Source organism: Homo sapiens, chromosome 8 (assembly GCF_000001405.40).
Source record: "Homo sapiens chromosome 8, GRCh38.p14 Primary Assembly".
Lineage (NCBI taxonomy): Eukaryota > Metazoa > Chordata > Mammalia > Primates > Hominidae > Homo > Homo sapiens.
In genome coordinates, this window is record NC_000008.11 from 80,569,835 (window position 1) to 80,589,543 (window position 19,709).

The window sequence follows — 19,709 nt, forward strand, 5'->3', positions numbered from 1 at the left end:
TGATAAAAATAAAAGCATAATTATTCAAATAAAAATGTTTATTCATATGCCACATAAAATTATCTACCCTACTACACTTTTGGAAACACTGCCTAGAAATAACACCCTTTTCATACCTCATGGCTCCTTCTGAAGGAGTCCTTCATGAGGAAGTAAGTAAATAGGGATTTTCTCTTTTTTGAAGAAACTAGATATTTTTTCTTACACAGTGAAACACAGGTCTTTCTTCATTACTCCATGCGGTGGTCACACTTAGCCCCATCAGAATAGTTATACAGGCACAGTCACACACCAAGGAACAGTTCAACACACACACGCACACACACACAAACACATGCACACATTCTTCAATAGGATGTTTTTCAAATTGGCAAACATGAAGAAAAATTTTCAACTTTTATACTTCCAAAGTTCCTAAAAATAGCTGAGTCTATTTGATAGCAATTTTTGGCATTTTTGAGGGAAATAAGTTTACTCATATTTTCAAATATGTAAGCTTAAACTGCATAATTAAAGAATTCAATATCATCTTTAATTTGTTTTATTGTCTTTTTTTTTTTGAGATGGAATTTCACTCTTGTCGCCCAGGCTGGAGTGCAGTGGTGGGATCGTAGCTCACTGCAACCTCCACCTCCCTGGTTCAAGCCATTCTCCTGCCTCAGCCTCCCAAGTAGCTGGGACTACAGGCATGTGCCACCATGCCTGGCTAATTTTTGTATTTTTAGTAGAGATGGGGTTTCATCATGTTGGTCAGGCTGGTCTCGAACTCCTGACCTCAAATGATCTGCCTGCCTAGGCCTCCCAAAGTGCTGGGATTACAGGCATGAGTCACCGCCCCCGGCCCTGTTTTATTGTTTTAGTATTTAACTACTAAATGTGCAGTTTCATCATTAGCTTTTTTTGTACTTTTGTGTTTTTATTTTTAATTTTTTATCATTAGCCTTTAAAAAATCAAAATGAAAGTATTATTGGATAACATAAAGCTTCCCTTGATTTCAAAAAATTCCAGTTTTGCCTACTGCTTGAAACTTTAGGTTATGGTCTCATGAGCATGGTATTTCACCTGAGATCCATTTCTTTGGATTTCAATGTCTTCCTATGTAAGATGGGTATCTTTCTGCTCCAGAACAGTATTGTTACCATGAGGTAATCTATGTTTAAGAGTGTCATAGGAGGCAGAAGGGAATCACTTGGCTGTGTCATAAAATTTAATATGTAGAGTTTTCTTTTCTTTCTTTTTTTTTTTTTTTTTTTTTGAGATGGAGTCTCGCTCTGTCGTCCAGACTGGAGTGCAGTGGCGCGATCTTGGCTCACTGCAACCTCTGCCTCCCGGGTTCAAGCGATTCTCCTGCCTCAGCCTCCCAAGTAGCTGGGACTACAGGCGTGTGCACCATGCCTGGCTAATTTTTTGTATTTTTAGTAGAGACGGGGTTTCACCGTGTTAGCCAGGATGGTCTCGATCTCCTGACCTCGTGATCCACCCGCCTCAGCCTCCCAAAGTGCTGGGATTACAGGCGTGAGCCACTGCGCCCGGCCTATTTTCATAATTTAAAAAACAATTTATTGTTGATAGTGTTTCATGCAGTGGTTATAAGATCATTTTCTTAAAAATTTTAAGCTTTTAATTATTTGGGTTTTTTAAAAAAAAATGGCTGAATTTTAAAAATTGCATTTAGCCTGAGGACTTAATGTCTGTTTTGTGTTTATTGTCTGATGAATTTCTTCTGTTATTTCTATTTACTTATTATGGAATCATGAGATTTTAGAGCTATGAGCCATCATGGAAGTTGCCTAGTTCTTATCCAACCATTTTATTTGATAATGGAGGCCCAGAGTCGGTTGAATAGTGGTTCAAAGTCACCCAGTGTCTACTCATCTGCTTTTGTCTGAATGAATTAATATTTGCATGAGACTTCTGAGAAAGATCCCGTTTCTTTGATGGAACAACTCTTCCAGCAGAATAGGGTTCATTGTACCCTAAGGTGGGCAGCAGCTGAACACCAACATTGGGCTTTCTGGTGAGCAAGGCCTCTCCAGAATGCACAGAGACTTAGACTAAGTCTTTCTTCTAAGATCTGGTCATCCAAGTCCTGCCCCCTTGAAACACCTGTTCAATGGTATGCTTATGCCAGACTGATCCCTTCTGTGAAGTTTTCCCCTCTGAGCTGAGACATAGGTTAGGTGAGATTCCTGCTATGTCCTTTCTTATTTTGTCCTGGGGTCCCAGACACAAACCTCAGTAGGAGGCAGCACTTTATAACTGAAAAAAACCCTGTACAGAGGGTTCTGCCACAAATGTATGACCCCAGGTAAGTCACTTAACATCTCTGGTTTGTAATAGAGTGAATTAGATGATCTCTAAGATAAATGAGGGGGAGAAAAACAGATGTTTAATTGAATCATAAAAGGAGACTAATAGACTAATTTTTTGTATTTATTTTATTTTTATTTTTTATTTAATTAATTAATTTATTTATTTTTGAGACAGAGTCTTGCTCTGTCGCCCAGGCTGGAGTGCAGTATTGTGATCTTGGCTCACTGCAACCTCCGCCTCCTGGGTTCAAGCGATTCTCCCACCTCAGCCTCCCAAGTAGCTGCGATTACAGGCGCAAGCAGCCACACCTAGCTAATTTTTGTATTTTCATTAGAGGCAGAGTTTCACCATGTTGGCCAGGCTGGTCTCGAACTCCTGACCTCAAGTGATCTGCCCGCCTCGGCTTCCCAAATTGCTGGGATTACAGATGTGAGCCACCACGCCCGGTGTATTATTATTTTTAAAGTCATGGTAATAAGTAGCGGTTAACATGGAACAAGGATATAAGTATATTTTAGAGAATCTGGAAGTCAAGGTAGGAAGAGCTAAAACGTGATGTGGAAAGTCACAGGGAGTCTTTGGAGACTGCCTACTTACCTGGTGTAAGGAGAAACCGCTTCTCCCTAACTCAAAATCAGCTATTTAAAATCAACATTCTTGACTACGGATGATTGGCTCAGAGGTGAATACTTGACTGAGGTGGAATCAGTCAATTTTTTTTTGCCCCCATATTTGGAAATGAGAGTCAAGATGGCCAGTTAGTGGTGTACCCAGAACTGAGGTGATAGAAACTAAGCTTTTCTGTGATCGCAGTTGATCATGTGTTCAGAGGAACGCAAAGCTGGTCTGCAGAAGTGATAAGAAGCTTCATGAAGAGAAAAAAACAGACAAAAAGTAGAAATGGGGAAGGTGTTCTGCCTCTTTCCTGCTAGCTTTGGGGATTTCACCCAGTTCCTTCTGAGGCCAGGATGCACTTGCCCTTGGGCACAATGAAGTATGGCTATGTCCCTGAACCCCAACAATAAACGCCCCCGGTAAACATTGTTAAGCCATCAAATAAAAAGGGGCAGGAATATGCTTGTCTTGTGTAGTCTAATAGGCGAGATCAGTTTTTTTAAGAAGTATGGTTCTTAGAAAAGAGGAAAATGGGTAAATTCCAGCAAAATCGAATGTATGGGCTTCACAGGGTCCTTGCGCCAGCCGTCCCCGCCCCTCGGAGAAACCTCTTTTTCTCCTCAGTGCTCCTCAAGCCTGGCCCCTAACAAATGAACATGCAGTTGAAAAGTCGCTTCCTCAGGGAAGCCTTCCCTCCCCAGTTCCTGTCTCTCTCACCCCGACTTTCCCTCAGGCCATAAACAAATAGGCCAGTGATTTCCAAATTAGTAAATTCTACAAAAAACAATTCTTCAATTACATGTTAATAGTAACAGTATTAATGTTGTCCACCATCTTTATTTCAAGTTTCAACTAATCAGTTGGCTAAGGATTTTTCTCTCCCATTCTCCTTCTACTCACCTTCTAACCAATGGTCACTCTCTCAAGGTGAATTAGCCAAAATTTTTGGTTCAAAACCAAGAGCTGCGGTCAGTCCTCTGGATAGGTCTAAGCACGTCTGGATGCCTCAGAGATAGCCTCTGCCTTCCACCAGACTAAGGGAAAAGGAGATGGTATTATCTAAAACTTCAGTCTACAAAGAAAGTCAGCAACTTTCTTTGAGCTCAGAGGCCACAGCTGTGAGCCTTCTTCTAATGCCACCAATAACACAAAGTAGATGAAGGAAGCTCTAGCTGAGTGGCTGAAATGTGCTTGTTTAAGTGTACTTTTCCTTGGGTGTTTGGGAAGGCTCCTCTTCACCCCCCACTAACTAATCATTACTATGGGGAGATGAAAAGGGAGAACCTAGCTGGAATTCCACCTTTGCCACTGACAATCTGGGTGTCCTTAGGTTAGTTACTGGGACTCCCTAATCCTCAGTCTCCTCCCTGTAAAATCAGCGCAGTATAATACAGTGTATAGATGGGTGTCGGAGGCTCAATATGAGGACTGCAGGTCATGTTTGTAACTTCATCACCCACATCTCACACAAAGTAACCATGCCCCGCATCCTACTCAAAAAATTGCCAGCTGTTCTGTCAGGTCAGAAAAATCCAGTTGTGTGCTTCGGCCTGTCGCTCCTGTCCCTGTTCATACTTCTCTCCTGGCATAGCCCTCACCCCAAGTCCTGTCTTCCATCCTTGGACATGATTACAGTTTCCGCTGAATAATGTGTCCTGTCCAGCAAAGTTTTTTTCTAATGTGGTGGTGTCATGAGTCTCATTTTATAAGGCCTTTTTTCTTTACCTCATGTTAATCAGGTCCAGATATAATGTTATTGCTCTTTTTTTTCTAAGAAAATATATTGCTTCCTTTCTATGTAAACAGCACATGTGCTTAGAATTATTCGGTGATCAATACTAATTAGGTATTCTGCTCAGTAGATGTTTAATGTTTTAATTCTAGGCTTTCATCTATTCACTTTGAGTTGATTGACCTAAACTCTATATTGATTAAATTGTCTTCTTTTTGTTTGACCTCCTCAGTAAGGGGGAAAATCATTCAGCTGTATTCTTTCAAATTTCAGTTCTAAAAATCAGTCTGTAGGTATAAAAAGAAAAAACAAGGCATACAATAATATTACTGCAAAATGCTGCTTATGAATTCAATTAGAAGGAAACTTTGCTGAAATAAAAACTGAAATCCCTTGAAAAATTTTTAGTCTCTCTCTCTCTCTCCCCCTCCCCAATCTCTTCATTCCTATTTTCTAATAAATCTTATTTAGACTGGAGACCCTACTGGGAAATTTCACTTTTAGTTTTGGGAAATGTCAGTTACTAGTGATGGGAATATCAGAATATTTAAGCAAAGAAAAAAAGAATCTCTCCTCTCCCACATGTGTTAAAAATAGTCACAGGGTATTTTTCCCTCTAAATTCTGAAAAAGGGGGGAAAAAGCACTTTTTGGACTAACGTTAATGAGGGAGTATTTTCCTAAAGGGAAAACCTTTTTAGAAAATTAGAAGAAACAAAAAGATTTAAAACTGCAATCAGTTCTAGCAGAAGGAGGGGTGGGCCAGAAGGCATCTGTCTGTCCGCTTCTTCCCTGGCTCCCTCTCTCTGGACAGGCGCACAGGGCCATCAGGGAGAATGGCTCCGGCTGCAGGCAAACACCCCCTTTTCCCCCTTCAGATCTGCAGGAAGACAGCAGAGTAACTCCCTGCTCTCTAAAACTTCCTGGGGGCTTGGCCTGCTTACCCCGCCCCCAGTCAAGTCAACTGAAATTCAAGCTTGCTCCTGAGCCACAACCTGAAAAAAACCTTCCTTTTAGTGCTCCGCCTAAAAACATTGGCAGTACCAATACTGATTCTCACCTCGTCTCCCTATCGTGCCCTCATCCTGAACCCAGCCACGATTAGCTCCTGGCCTTGGTGACTCTGCACAGGGAAAAGCTAATGTTTAGGCCACCTCTGTTCCAAATGTTCCCATTTTGTTTCTTTCATGCTCCCTTTCCTCAATCACCCACTGCTGTGTTGTTCCCTTCGCCCAGTCCAGGAAAGGGCCACAGGACTGACTGAGACAGAAGAAAAGATGCAAAGGCAAAAGATTTTAAAGGTGGATATATTCTCATTATTCACTTACAGAGGCCAAATTCAGCAGATGACTCTGAACCCTCACTTGACTGATGTGCAGACAAACATCAAATGATGCTTAGCCTATTCCTCCTAATTTGTAGTTGCCTAAGAATTTAAGGTTATGGTCAGACCTTTGATAGAAAATAAAGAAACAAGTCAACGTTATCCAACAGGATACAACCAAATTCTAAAAAGATGGTTTATGAATGAATTCAGAATATGTCTTTTAAATATTGTTACAGTTCTAAATAATCATGTGAAGCTACATTAAAAATTTGTGCAAAGAATCAGTAATAGTATTAATGCAGGGGGAAGGCAGTATCCCATGTCTTTATTTAAAAACTTTTTTACTTACTGCTTCTTTTTTTTTTTTTTTTTTTTTTTTAAGACAAAGTCTCACTCTGTCGCCCAGGCTGGAGTGCAGTGGCATCATCTTGGCTCATTGCAATCTCCGCCTCCTGGGTTCAAGCGACTCTTGTGCCTCAGCCTCCCAGCTGGGATTACAGTCGCCCACCACCATGCCTGGCTAATTTTTTGTATTTTTAGTAGAGACGGGGTTTCACCATGTTGGCCAGGCTGGTCTACTTGCTTAATTTCTTAAAACAAATGTACTCTTATCTCTGCCATTTTGCTATATCAAAGTCAATATAATGATTATCTTTCAAAGTCTTTTTATAATATTGCTATTGCACAGTTTTCGACTCCTTGAATGAAAAAGGCTTGGATGATAACTGCTGAGGAACACTTAAAAATAATGATTCTTGAATTTACATGTCTGTCTTCTGCCAGAAAAATTGGACAAAAGTGAGAAATTCAATTAATCCATAAGTATTTTTTTTTTGCCCACAGTTATAGTCCATATTATCCTAGATGAGATTTGAGGGAGGTTCTGCTCTTGTGGAATGTGTAGTCAGGGAACAAACTAACTGCTCAGAGATGGTAGGTTTGGGGTCTTCAACCCAACCCTGTTGACTACTATTGGGCAAATCTGGGCAGGTTTTATGCCCTTTCGAAACTTCAGTTTCCTCATCTATCAAATGGAATAATAATAGTACCTGTCTTCTAAGTTTAAGAGAATTCAGTAAAATGCAAATGTCTATAAATTGCTTAGAATAGTGCCTGGAATTCAGCGAACCCTCACAAAATGCTACATATCAACTAGTTGGAAATCTAATTCTAGAAGTCATGCATGTTATGTCAAAATAAGTGAACATTTAGAGTTTTATAGATAAACTTACAGTTTACAGAAGTTTGCTTACATTTTTCATCCTTTCTTTTTGGTCAGCGACAGAGTTGAAACCAGATGGGATATCACACAATTACAAACCCACGAGTTTTCCTGTTACTTTAAGGTAGGTGCCTAATTTGGGAGTATGTGGGTAGAAGAAACCAAAAAATGTTCCTTTGGATAATACCTGAAAACAGGGGTTACCGATTTGGATTTTCAGAACAAACAGCAAAACAAAAGCTCAGGCTCTATCCACAGAAACAGTGTTTTTTAGGGCTTCCGAGGATTCTTTGACCTTTGCTTTAGGAAACATGGACAACCTTACATTTGATTGGTGAATTTTCTGCTGGTGTTTTTTTTTTTTTTTTTTTTTCCAAACCACGTTCCCTGCCTGAAAGCTAAACCTATTTATGGTGAGCGCTGTTTTTTCAATTAGGTTTATTTTCATTTTCCCATAGGCCATGTTAGCTGAGAACTTCCAAAAGTTTATTTTTTTTCTCTTTGCTTTTTATAATGGTTTTTAAAATAAAATATACAGCACTTATCTATAGATTTTCTCTGGAAATACTCATGTCTGAAATAAGCTTTTTTTCCACACCTTTAACACCACGTCATAAGAGCTATTCAAAAATGCCTTTCTGAATGTAATTGTTGTCCATTTCTGTGGCAAACTCTATGAGAGCAAGGATCGCGTCCGGTTCGCCAGCTTTGTGAAATATCTTGTGCAAGCTGACGCTTAGCAAACAGTACTTAAGAATGATGATCTGTTTGTGACTCGGCTTCTCCCAAAAATTTTCAGCTGGTTATCAGAAAACATTGTTTAAAATTCCAAGCTTAGCATTAGTAATATGTTTTCTCCACGAGGTCCCTGATTTGGGGTGAGGGGTGGACTGAAAATGAAAACCCACATCACCTTTCTAATAGTTGTGTAACGGAAAATATTCTCTGGTGAAAACACTCCAGGCGAAAGCAAGCCTTAGCTCGGAATTCCCTCCGCGGCCGGCGCCTCCCCTCCGGGGGCCTGGCTCGCAGCCCGTGGGGACGAGGGCCTGCACGTCCCCGGGGGACTGAGGGCTGCTCTGGGTGAGGATGGGAAGGCGGGTGCCGCTTCCGAGGGCTCCTCTCGCCAAGGGAGAGAGCCCTAGACCCGTTCCCGGGGCGCTGCTCTTCCCGGGCTGGGGTGGGCTGCAGCGGCGGCAGGACCTCGCCCCCTCCCGGCCGCCCGCACCCCCGCGCCTCCTCCTAGGGCCCGGTGTCCCACGGGCCTGCCGCGGTCCCCGCCCTCTCCGGCTCCCGCGACTCCCTCCCCCAGGCAGCTGGGGCAGGAATTCGGCTGGAGAATCTGGCCCGGGCACCCGGCCCTGGAGGGCTGGACTGGTTCGCCCGGGGCCGCGCCCTCATCCCCGCTCCTACCCGGCTCCCCGTCCCGCGCTCCTCCCAGCTCTGGCTCCCCCACTCCTTCCCCTCTCCCGCCGGCGCTCCCCGCCTCTGCTCCTCCCGCTCCCCCTCCGGCGCTCCTTCTCCCTGCCCCCCATCCACGCCGCCGCCCCCGGTCTTTCTTCCTGCCCCAGCTCCTCCCCTGCGCCCCTTCTCCCTGCTCCCCTTCTCCCTGCTCCCCTCCTCCTCGCCCTTCCTCCCCTGTTCTCCTTCTCCTCTGCTCCCCTCCTCCCCTCTTCCCCTCCTCCCCCGCTCCTCTTCCCGGTTTGCGGAGCTCCCACGCTGTTGCTATGGAGGCGCCCGCGGCTGTTCGCGGCCAGGCGGGAGCTGCCCTGGGGCCCCGGGGACGAAGTAGGGACTCTGCCCAAGGCTCGGGCGCCTCGCCCCACTGGGGCCCAGGAACAAAGCGCGCCCTCCCCCACCCCGGGAGTGCGCTGTGAGACCCTCAGGCGTCCCGGGCCCCGAGGCTTAAGACCACCGCGAATCTGCTCGCCCCCAACCTCTGTGGGCAGGACCCCTGGGGCCGGGGTGACAGCTGCGCTCTACCGCGCTACCTTCCTGGCCCCCCGAAGATCACTCCCGCTCGCCCCATCCCGGAGGTGTCACTGGGGCCGGGGGACGGCCAGATGGCCCCATTTAACAGGACTATCCGTTTTGTTGGGGGCCGAAGCAGCGTCCAGGCCAATTTACATAGAAAAATGGGGTTTGTGTCCCCAATTCAGTGCAGTGCCCCGACAGCTGGTGGCTCTGTCATCATGTCAGGACCCCACAGCATGATGTTTAAAGTGGCTTTATCTGTGCAGATGTGTGAGTGTGAATAGCAATTGATTGGGAACCAGTAGCTACTAGGTCTGGCTTGAAGATATTAAGCGTTCACAGAGGAAATTTTATCAGCCCGGTCACCGAATAAGAGCCTAGACGGGAAAAGGCCTGCTGAAGACTTCTGATGCTCTCCTGCAGACCTTTTAGCTTATCATTTTATTCAGAAGTCTAAAAAGCCAAATTGTTTGGGTCTGAGGAGGGCTTTGAAATCCTTAACTATTTACAGCTTGGTCGTTGCTTGTAAAAGTTGTGAGGCTGAACATAAAAACGGTTTAAGGAGGACTGCTAAGACTTAAAAAAAATGATGAAAGATCTAATCTAATTCATTTTATTGAACTACTTTGACTCAGTTGGTTTGTGTCCAGAACGATAGCCTGTAATAGGCTGAAAGTTATCATTTGTTTAGTTTGGAATCAGTAGCTTAAACATGTGTACTTAAATTGCAGCATGTTAGAACAGGGAGTAACTTTCTTATTTTATTAGTGAAGAATTTGAGGCTCAGAGAAGTTAAGTGATTTTCCCAAGATCACACAACTCTGTGAAATATGATCTAAATTGTTCAAATCCATACAGGACAAAGGAAGAGGACATTTGAAAAGACAGTAGTTTTAGAAGCCCTTGAAAATACCTCCATCAAGAAGCTCTGGATCTGCAAGGGGTGGGGGCTTTTGCATTAAAAAAAAAAGAAAAGAAAAGAAAAGCAGCAGCTACTCTTGCACCTTTCCCCCAGTACGCTGGAGCCACCAACAGGTAACTGCCTAGAAGACAAGGGATCCAGAGGAATTTTTTTCCTGCACCTTTATACATTCATCATCTTTGACTGAGACTGTATTGGAAACAATTCTAGCCACTAAAATTTTCTGGAACTGTGCTCTGGGACTAGTGACTTTGTTTCCACAGAAGCTATCATTTTGTAACAAAGATGGAAAGTATAATATATGTTTAGGATTTGTAGGAAATGGGAAATTGAAGCTGGGCTGGGACCTTCTTAGTCCCCATTTTTAGGTAGGAGGATATAAGGACTATTATGGAACCTGCATTCACATTACCAGAGGGTAGAGTAGTTAATTTGGAAAGGCTTTTTTTGTTTGTTTTTAGACAGGGTCTCACTCTGTCACCCAGGCTGGAGTGCAATGGTACGATCATAACTCCTTACAGCCTTGAATTCCTGGGCTCAAGTGATCCTCATGCCTCAGCCTCCCGAGTAGCTGGGACTACAGGTTCTCACCACCACACTGGCTTACTTGGGAAGGGATTGGAGCTCCCCAGAACAACAGCATTACCTACCTTTATAATAATTTAAAATAATCTTTGAAAGATGGTCTTTTTCTTTTTTTTTTTTTTTTTTTTTTTTTTTTTTTGAGACGGAGTCTCACTCTGTCACCCAGGCTGGAGTGCAGTGGCACAATCTCGGCTCACTGCAAGCTCCGCCTCCCGGGTTCACGCCATTCTCCTGCCTCAGCTTCCCGAGTAGCTGGGACTACAAGCGCCCGCCACCACACCCGGCTAATTTTTTATATTTTTAGTAGAGATGGGGTTTCACTGTGTTAGCTAGGATGGTCTCGATCTCCTGACCTCGTGATCTGCCCACCTCGGCCTCCCAAAGTGCTGGGATTACAGACGTGAGCCTCCGCGCCCGGCCGAAAGATGGTCTCTTTACATCAAGAAGTGTATTGGAATAACTCTATTGTCCAAATTTCCGCATAGACTTCTATTGGCTAAACCCCCTGCCTTTAACCTTAAGTGAGTTTATAATGATTTAGGAAAGAATGCCTCTGGGGAAAGTTTTAATTGAGCTGTAGTGAACCATAGAATGCCACATTAAGAAGAGAATATTTGAGTTTGCACACTGCACTTCAAACATGACAAAGAACAGGGATGTGTAACTGGATTGGAACTGGAGAAGGGTGTTCATTTCTGCTCTGCTTCTCACACCAGAACACATTAGCAATTTTTTCTTTTGGCTCATATTTGTTTGGGTCCTGGATGAGAGTACCAAATACATAATGGAGGCACCAGGTAATGAACATAAGAACCTCTCAATCATTGGAAAGAGAGGTATCTTTAGGGTCATTAATAAAGTGTTATATTTTAAAAATAACTGTATACAAGGAAGGTATTTGAAATTGACCCCAGCATCACCACTACCACACAGTACCCTCTATCCCCTTTACTGTTTTCTTTTTTTTTTTTTTTTAAAGCACTTGTATTGGTTAACTACCAAGGTATAACAAACAGCCCCCAAACTCAGCCTCACACAATGACCATTTATTATTTTAGCTCGTGCATCTGGGGTCCACTGGAGGTCAGCAGATCTAGGCTGGGCACATTGGGTGGCTCTGCTTATGTTGGCTGGGCTCATATGTGCATCTGAGAGTCTCCTGGGGCTCTGAGTGGGACTGAGGAAGCTTTGCTGAAGCAGGTCTGCTCTGTATCTCTTATCTCGTTGGACCAGCAGACCAGCCTGGGCATGTTCTCATGGCAATGGCAAAACAGCAAGAAAGGCCTTGGAGTCATGAAAGCCTCTTGTTTCTCTAGAATAAATAGCCAGGAACAGGCATGCTGTCATTTCTACCTCATTCTGTTGGTCAAAGCAGGTCATATGGCCAACCTCAAAGTCAAGGGAAAGGGGAAAAAGCCCCACTCACTGCAGAAAACATGACAAAGGGAACGGAGAGAGGGAGAATGAAGAGTTAGGGCCATTAATGCCATCAACCACAGCACTTGCCACCATCTAACTTACATATTTTGCTTGTGTTTGGTCTCTTGCTGCTAGAATGTAAACTCCCTATTGGTATGGACTTTTGAGGATATATTGCTATATTCCCAACACCCAGAACAGTAGCACATTATAGATATTTAATAAATATGGAATGAATCAATTAGGAGGATTACATTAATTATTTTGGCTTATGCAGGAAACCAACACTGCTTAAGATAGAATGTAAGTTTATGTTAGTTTATCCTAAAGTGATCGTATAAATCTTTTAAATTTTATTTTATTTTTTTAAACAGAGTCTCACTCTGTTGCCCAGGCTGGAGTGCAGTGGCACAGTCTTGGCTCACTGCAACCTCCGCCTCCCAGGTTCAAGCAATTCTTATGTCTCAGCCTCCCAAGTAGCTGGGACTACAGGCGTGCGCCATGCCTGGCTAATTTTTATATTAAACATTTTTAGTAGAGATGGGGCTTTACCATGTTGGCCAGGCTGGTCTCAAACTCCTGGCCTCAAGCGATCTGCCTGCCTTGGCCTCCCAAGGTGCTGGGATTACAGGCATGAGCCACCATGCCTGGCTGATGGTGTAAATTTTCTGATTTAAAGATTATTACCCATATTTGTAGAAAGTGCTGGCTATTTAGAATAAACATTTCTTAAACTTCAAACAAGTCTAGATTTCAAAATGGTTTAACACTTCCCTAGAACATATGAACAGGTACCATATAAAAGCAGATTGATTTTATGGGCAGAAAATTAGAAGTAGGGAGAGGGGGAACTTTATACATATTTTGGCAGAAAATATATTGCTTCTTCCTATATGGAAATAATACTAATATAATCTCAAGCTTTCAGAATTTGAATCTGAAACATTCTCAAGACTTTTGGATTTAAGCTATTTCAACAGGTGTGGGATACAGGATATAACTCACCCAAATCACTTTTTTTAGGCTTTTTGGATCCACAGAAATTCATTTATTTCTGTCCTTTCTCTGTCCCATTTTACCTAATCCAGAAGACAGCCGAAAGGGGTTTTCTTCAGGTCATGCTTTCAAAGGGGATTCCTATGCAATGTATGTTTTTTTTTAAATTTCCTTGGAATTTGAATTTGTGATGCCATTTTTTGACTGTGACAGATGATGAGGTAGGAGATAAAGTAGGCGTTAATGCTCCGTTATGTAAAGGGGAGTTTTGTATATGTCTGTACTTAGCAACAGGCTAATTTGGGACTCCTACGAGACACCCAAGTCTTGAACACTGGAGTATCTGAAGTTTCAGCATGCCAAGTGACTAACTCCTCAGATAGGCATCTTTTACACCTGAAAGCAGGGTTCCGGGTGGATATTTTATTTTGGATAAAAGGGGAACCTGGAAAGTTAGGGGCCCAGACACATTCTGAATTCTAGTTCTTTCTCTCTCTTCAGACTACTGAATAGAATCCCTACAAACAATGAGTATTGCAAGTTATACATTTAAAAGCTTATAAACATTTCTCAGAAAGGTTTCATTTACCAATTTACATGAATGTACTTGCCCTATTGTTATTAAGACCCCCAAAAGGGTTTAACTAGCTTCTTTTAACTTTAGCCCTTTGGGCTGGGAGTTTGGAGAGGGTCTTGGGTTCATTCATTCAGCAATCATTCATTGAGGGCCTACTGGATGCATCGAGTGCAATTAGACAGAGCCCTTGGCCCTAAGACACTCACAAGTGCCTTAAGATTTACAAGTCAAGGGGCAATTTCAGCACAGGAGGATAAGGGCTAGATTGGAAAAAGGATGCTGTGAGGGTTCAGAGGGAGAGGTGCCTAGGGACATCATGGGAGGCAAGGGAAGTAAACTAACATTGGTCGTTGTTTGATGCCTTCTGATTTGCAGAAGTCCTTTTACATTCTTACTCTCCTCTCATCCTGACACTAGCCCTCCCTGCAGGCCAGGGCAAGGTATCCTTCCTATGACCCTAATATTCCTGTGTCAGGCTGAAGGGTATACAACCTCAACATTGTACACTTTGTAAGGGATTTAACCTGCATTCACACCTGGGTCTGCTGGCACAAAGGAGCCTGGTGGATCTTGGGCAGAACAGCTCCTGGGCTCCGGAGCTGGTGTCAAGGAGACACCTACCTGCAGTATCAGGATGAAGGTAGGTGGAGCCAGACAGGAGATGCTTGAGGCCTGGGAAGAAAAAGCCAGTCAGGACAGAGGTTTAGGATTGGCTGCAAAATGTGTTCTCTGAACAACAAACAAGCAACACTACAGGGAGACCAAAGGAGAAAGAAAAGAAGAAAGACAATAGGGCCCATTGAAGAACAAAATATGTCAGTAAGGTCAATATGCCAGTAAGGCCAAACTGAAAAGTACGGGGAATGGCAAACAGGAGCAAATTATTCATCACCCTAATTCTCATTCGCAAATGGAGATATCTTTCTAACAGAGCAGGTGTGAGGATAAGAGGCAACAGAATTAAAGACTGTGTGGTAATGTCATCTCAGATGCTCAGGAACTGTGACAACTCCTAAATGTAGGTGTGACTGTTTCACTACACATAGTAGAAAGTAAAAAATACTTCTTCTTTTTTATTTTTCTGGATCAAATTCCAAGGTATGTGTACTCTTTGGGTCTTGGAAATGAAATTTTGAATATGGCAGCATATCTCTTCTCAGTTATGTGTGGGTTCCCTAGTCCCACAAGGTTATGTAAGGCCTACAAAGCAGGTACCTACAAAATTAGGATGACAGATTCAATTTCCAAAGTCAGTGATTTTACCATCTCCTAAGTATAGCAAGAGCTGCAGCTGAACTCAGACTCTGGTTCAGAGTTTGCTGTGTGCACTCCTCACGGGGGGTGAACGTCAATTGGAATGGGTGCCTTTGGTGATCCTCAGCACTATTCACAAACGTTCTGAGTCTCTCCTTCCAAGCATGTGGGAGGATTGTACTTTTTGTCCCCTTAAGGCTAGGCATTGGATACCCTTTGGCTGATGAAATGTGTTCATAAGTAATTTGTGTCACATGTAAGCAGCCTTTAGTAAGAGCCTGGCCACAGAAGCCATGAAGCATTTACTTTTTTAAGACGGAGTCTTGCTGTGTCACCTAGGCTGGAGTGCAGTGGCATAATCTTGGCTCACTGCAACCTCTGCCTCCTCGGTTCAAGCGATTCTCCTGCCTCAGCCTCCCGAGTAGCTGGGACTACATGCGTGCGCCACCATGCCTGGCTAATTTTTGTATTTTTAATAGAGACAAGGTTTCATTATGTTGGCCAGACTGGTCTCGAACTCCTGACCTTAAGTGATGTGCCCGCCTCGGCCTCCCAAAGTGCTGGGATTACAGGGGTGAGCCACCGCGCCCAGCCCACCATGGAGCATTTAGAGATGGAGCCTCTGTCAGCTGGGCTTCCTGGATGACTCAGATGGGCAGAGAGTCCCTCACACCTGCATCATACGCATAGCAGACACAAGAAATAAATCTTTTGCTGTGCTTCACTGCTATTATTTCCAATTGTTTCTGCTGCATAACTTGGCCTATCTTGACTGATATATTCCATATTCTAGGCCTGCTTTTTTTTTTTTTGGGAGGAGTGCACTGTTTCTGGAGGTACTGCAACACGAGGTTGATGAGTCGGGTGGACAGAGCAAGCTCCTATTCCATCTCCCTGCTGCAGAAATCCACTTAGTATATTGTGCTCAGATAGAGGACATATCAGATATTAACTGATAAGAATAGATACTATACTTGATCTTAGCCAAAGGCCAAAAGGCCAAAAAGCAATAAGCCTTTTTTTTTCAACTTAAGGAGGAGAGAGTTTTTGTTAGTTTCTGTTGCTTCTTTTGTTGAGGAAATAGGAGGATAGAAGGGCCAAGAACAGTGGAAGGAGATAGCATGTGCCTGTTCTCCATCTGGGCCCGCAGTCTAGTATGAAGTCCCAGTGGATAGCCAGCAGTGACAGCAGGAGCAGGCAAACATGGGTGGATTTGTTACAGGACATGCCTGAGACATCACTCTGGAGACTCCCAGAAATGACCAAGGGAGATTTGGGAAGAGTGGCTAAGGTCCTGGTGTTACACTGGAGGTGCTAGGAGCTACTGTCATTTGGAATTAATATTAATGTGACCTTATATGTATAGATAGGCTCGGGAGGCATGGGGACAGTGAGTCAGATAATAATTCAGCTGGTTTGGTTCATCAAGGCCTGGAGCATGTCTGCAAACCTGTGACAATATACGCCTATTGATCTTTCTGAGTGACTGTTGGCCTTACGCTCTGTCATTTGTCCATGTGGACTACTTTTATCTGGCAGTATGGATCAGTGTATATTTTCTTTAGCAGTTAAATTGAATGTATAAAGTATTAATTTTGTGAGGAAGAAAACCAAAATGTTTAATTAAAAAGCCGGTATAACTTCTAGACTTCATCATGGGACCGATTTTCCTTTTTTTTTTAAATAAAATAGTTTTCTTTTTGGGAGAGAGGTGTGAAGTGTTTTGCTAAACTATATTTACCTTGTCTATGAAATGACTTTAAGAAAGCCAACAAACTCTCCCAAGGTAGATTTTATAAGGGGTGAAGGATGTTGGAAAGGAAGAAATAATAGAAAAACTGTTATGAAAGCAAAGATATCTGTGTGATTGCAAATGGTACAAAAAATAGAAACTTTTTTGTTATGATCAAACTGAAGTTGAATTGTGTGAGGCTTTCATTTTAATACCCTACCACAAACCCACAAATTCAGCTGTGCTACCCAGGAAATGTTATTTACAGTTTACCCTCACCTTAGACTCTCTGACCCTTGAAGACGCCTTAGAGGATTGGCTGCCCCTTTCTCTCCCCTCTAGTTTATCATCTTTGCCTCTGTCTTTAGGCAGCAGCACAGAATTTCTTGGTGACACCTGCTTGTGACCCCGGCTTTGAGAATCCTTAATTCTTCTCCATCTGCTTGGCTTGATAGCTAAGGCAACCCTGGACATCACAGTTTGTGCACAGTAGAACCATCCATTTGCCTCTTGAAAAATTGTGTAAAAATTGGGAACATTGTCAACATGCTAAATAGAATTTCTTCTTTGGATAGTCAATGGCAAATTACTTTTGTTACTATTACATTTCTTTCAAATATTATAACTTAAAAATGTATAAAACTCTTTCAAATGAAGTAACTCATTTTTTTACCCCAAAATGGTAAAGTCCAATTGAATATTATTATTCCTCACTTTATTGACTAGGAAACAATCTTGCTCAAGTTTACTAATTGGTAACAGAAACGGAACTCATACTCGGAACGTCACACTTTTTGGCCATCTTCACCTTTCTTCATTTAAGGGTCATTGTTAAATAATTAAAGGATGGCATTTTTTCCTACAATATTTTAAAGCTTCAACACTGTTATTTTGCTTCTATTCAAAGGAGTAAAGAAAAATTTTTCCACTTTGAGGTAAAGTACAATGGAGTGCTCCTTATGCGTGAACTGCTACATCTCTCTGAGAAACAGCTCTCTTTCTCACGTTGGCAAAGCAAGCCTGTGCCTCTCTGAACCACCTTACAAATTCACCCAAAGATCTAGCTGCTGAAAAGAGCATATGTACCAGCAGATAGCTGTGATCTGACAACTTAAGATACAAATATTAATCAAAAGAAAAGTAAATAAATAGTTGCCTGTATGTCACTTCATCCAAACCCTACCTTATTAGACCCAAAAATAACAGCAGTAAAATATTAGCAGCAACCATTTACTGAATGTTTAGTCTAGGGCCAAGCCAAGCAGGTCACTTAGCCCCATGTCCAGCCACTGTCATTTAATGCTCAGTATAAGCCCGCGACGTCAGTGCTATCCTGGCTTTATTTTACTGATGAGGCGCTGAGGCTTACAGAGCTTAGGTAACTTGTCCAGGTTTTATAGCAGGCAAGCAGCTGAGCGATATCTCCACTCACACCATTGACTTTATTCTTGTACAAGAGGAAATCTCATTTCATAAAAGAAAAGTTTCCCACAAATAAAATCAAAATTCATCCAACCCGGAAATAAGCTGAAGAAGTTGAGGGGTCATCTAACAGAGTTCTGCTTTGCTCATTGGAAACTGACTTCAGTGGAGACTTATTAATCTTGTCAGTTTTCCTAGAAAATTAATTTGCTTTGCAGCAAAGCCTTAAGACTGTGTGTATTAAATGTTACAGCTAAGCTAGACCCTTCAGCTAGTCACAAACTGTTCAGTTTAGAGGGGGAAAACAGTAAATTAAGAGAAAGCAATGGGAAACATTTTTCACTGAAAGAAAAGCGAGCCACATAATATATGATTTTTTCTAGCTACAGGGTCTTGACCCTTTGGGGATGTTGAAAGGAATAAATGGATTGATTGAGGAAAGGGAAAAACAGCTTGTGGCAGATTAGATGGTGTTATGATGCCTGCTCCTGACTTCCTCCTGCCAAAATGAGATTCATTAAAGAAAACTCTTAAGTAAATTAAAACTCTGCTCACCAATACCCTCCCCTCCAGATGTTAACAGCCAACTGTGGTTCGTTTGACGACATGGCTGTGGGTAATCAGTAGAAACATTTCTATTAAGAGGGATGATGAGAAGCACTGGGAAATATTTTATGTACTTTTAACCAAAAATGACCAAACAGCTGGCTGATTGATGACTTCTGGTATCAGGAACCCAAGACGCTTTCACTATGTGAGCAATTGCTCATGAGTTCAGTTTGGCCATTCCCGCACCAACAAGATGCTGTTATTCCCTGACTTATGCCTATGATGAAAAGGTGGCTTAGAGAGAAGCAGCAGGGAGGAAACTTTGGCTCAGAGAGTGTCAGGCTGCTTGGTGAATTGTGCCATTTCTGGACTTATCACCAGGGTAGCGTATGTTCTGGGATACAGCAACAGTTCTTCCTGTGGGTATTTCAGTTTATGGCAAAAACAGAACTGCCTTTGTCAAATTAGAATCAACTTCCTGTCCTGCTGCATGTGTATATCTATCTATCTATCTATCTATCTATCTATCTATCTATCTATCTATCTATCTATCTACCTATCTATCTGTTTACCCATCTAACTATCTCTATAATGGAGATATATCTCCATTGGAATAGCAATCAAAGGACACATCTGGTCAGCAGGGTTATTAAATGACACAGTTACTTCCCGGTGTGGTGGGTTGGAAGAACCTGGAAGAAGGCAGAGTAGGTCACACACCTGTTGTCATCTCCCTAATGCTGAAGGGAAGTTTAGAGTGCCCCCTTCCGTCACCTAAATTTCAGGAAATAGGAATGTTGATGTGAGCCAAGGGAGTATTTATTTTCTTGAATTTTTTTTTTTGAGACGGAGTCTCGCTCTGTCACCCAGACTGGAGTGCAATGGTGCAATCTCGGTTCACTGCAACCTCCACCTCCCGGGTTCAAGCAATTCTCCTGCCTCAACCTCCTGAGTAGTTGGGATTACAGGTGCATGTCACCACGCCCGGCTAATTTTTGTATTTTTAGTAGAGATGGGGTTTCACCGTATTGGTCAGACTGGTCTTGAACTCCTGACCTCGTGATCCGCCC

At 42.8% G+C, this 19,709-nt stretch overlaps 1 pseudogene, besides 1 other annotated feature; it reads right to left on the reverse strand.

The window, feature by feature from the left end:
- Positions 8,401-8,470: a silencer, noted in NCBI's record as "silent region_19325". NCBI's record gives its function as "represses an Ori minimal core promoter by ATAC-STARR-seq in GM12878 lymphoblastoid cells {active_cell/tissue: GM12878}" and the evidence as "EXISTENCE:reporter gene assay evidence [ECO:0000049][PMID:35858748]".
- On the reverse strand, positions 15,756-15,947 carry RNU2-71P (RNA, U2 small nuclear 71, pseudogene; annotated as a pseudogene).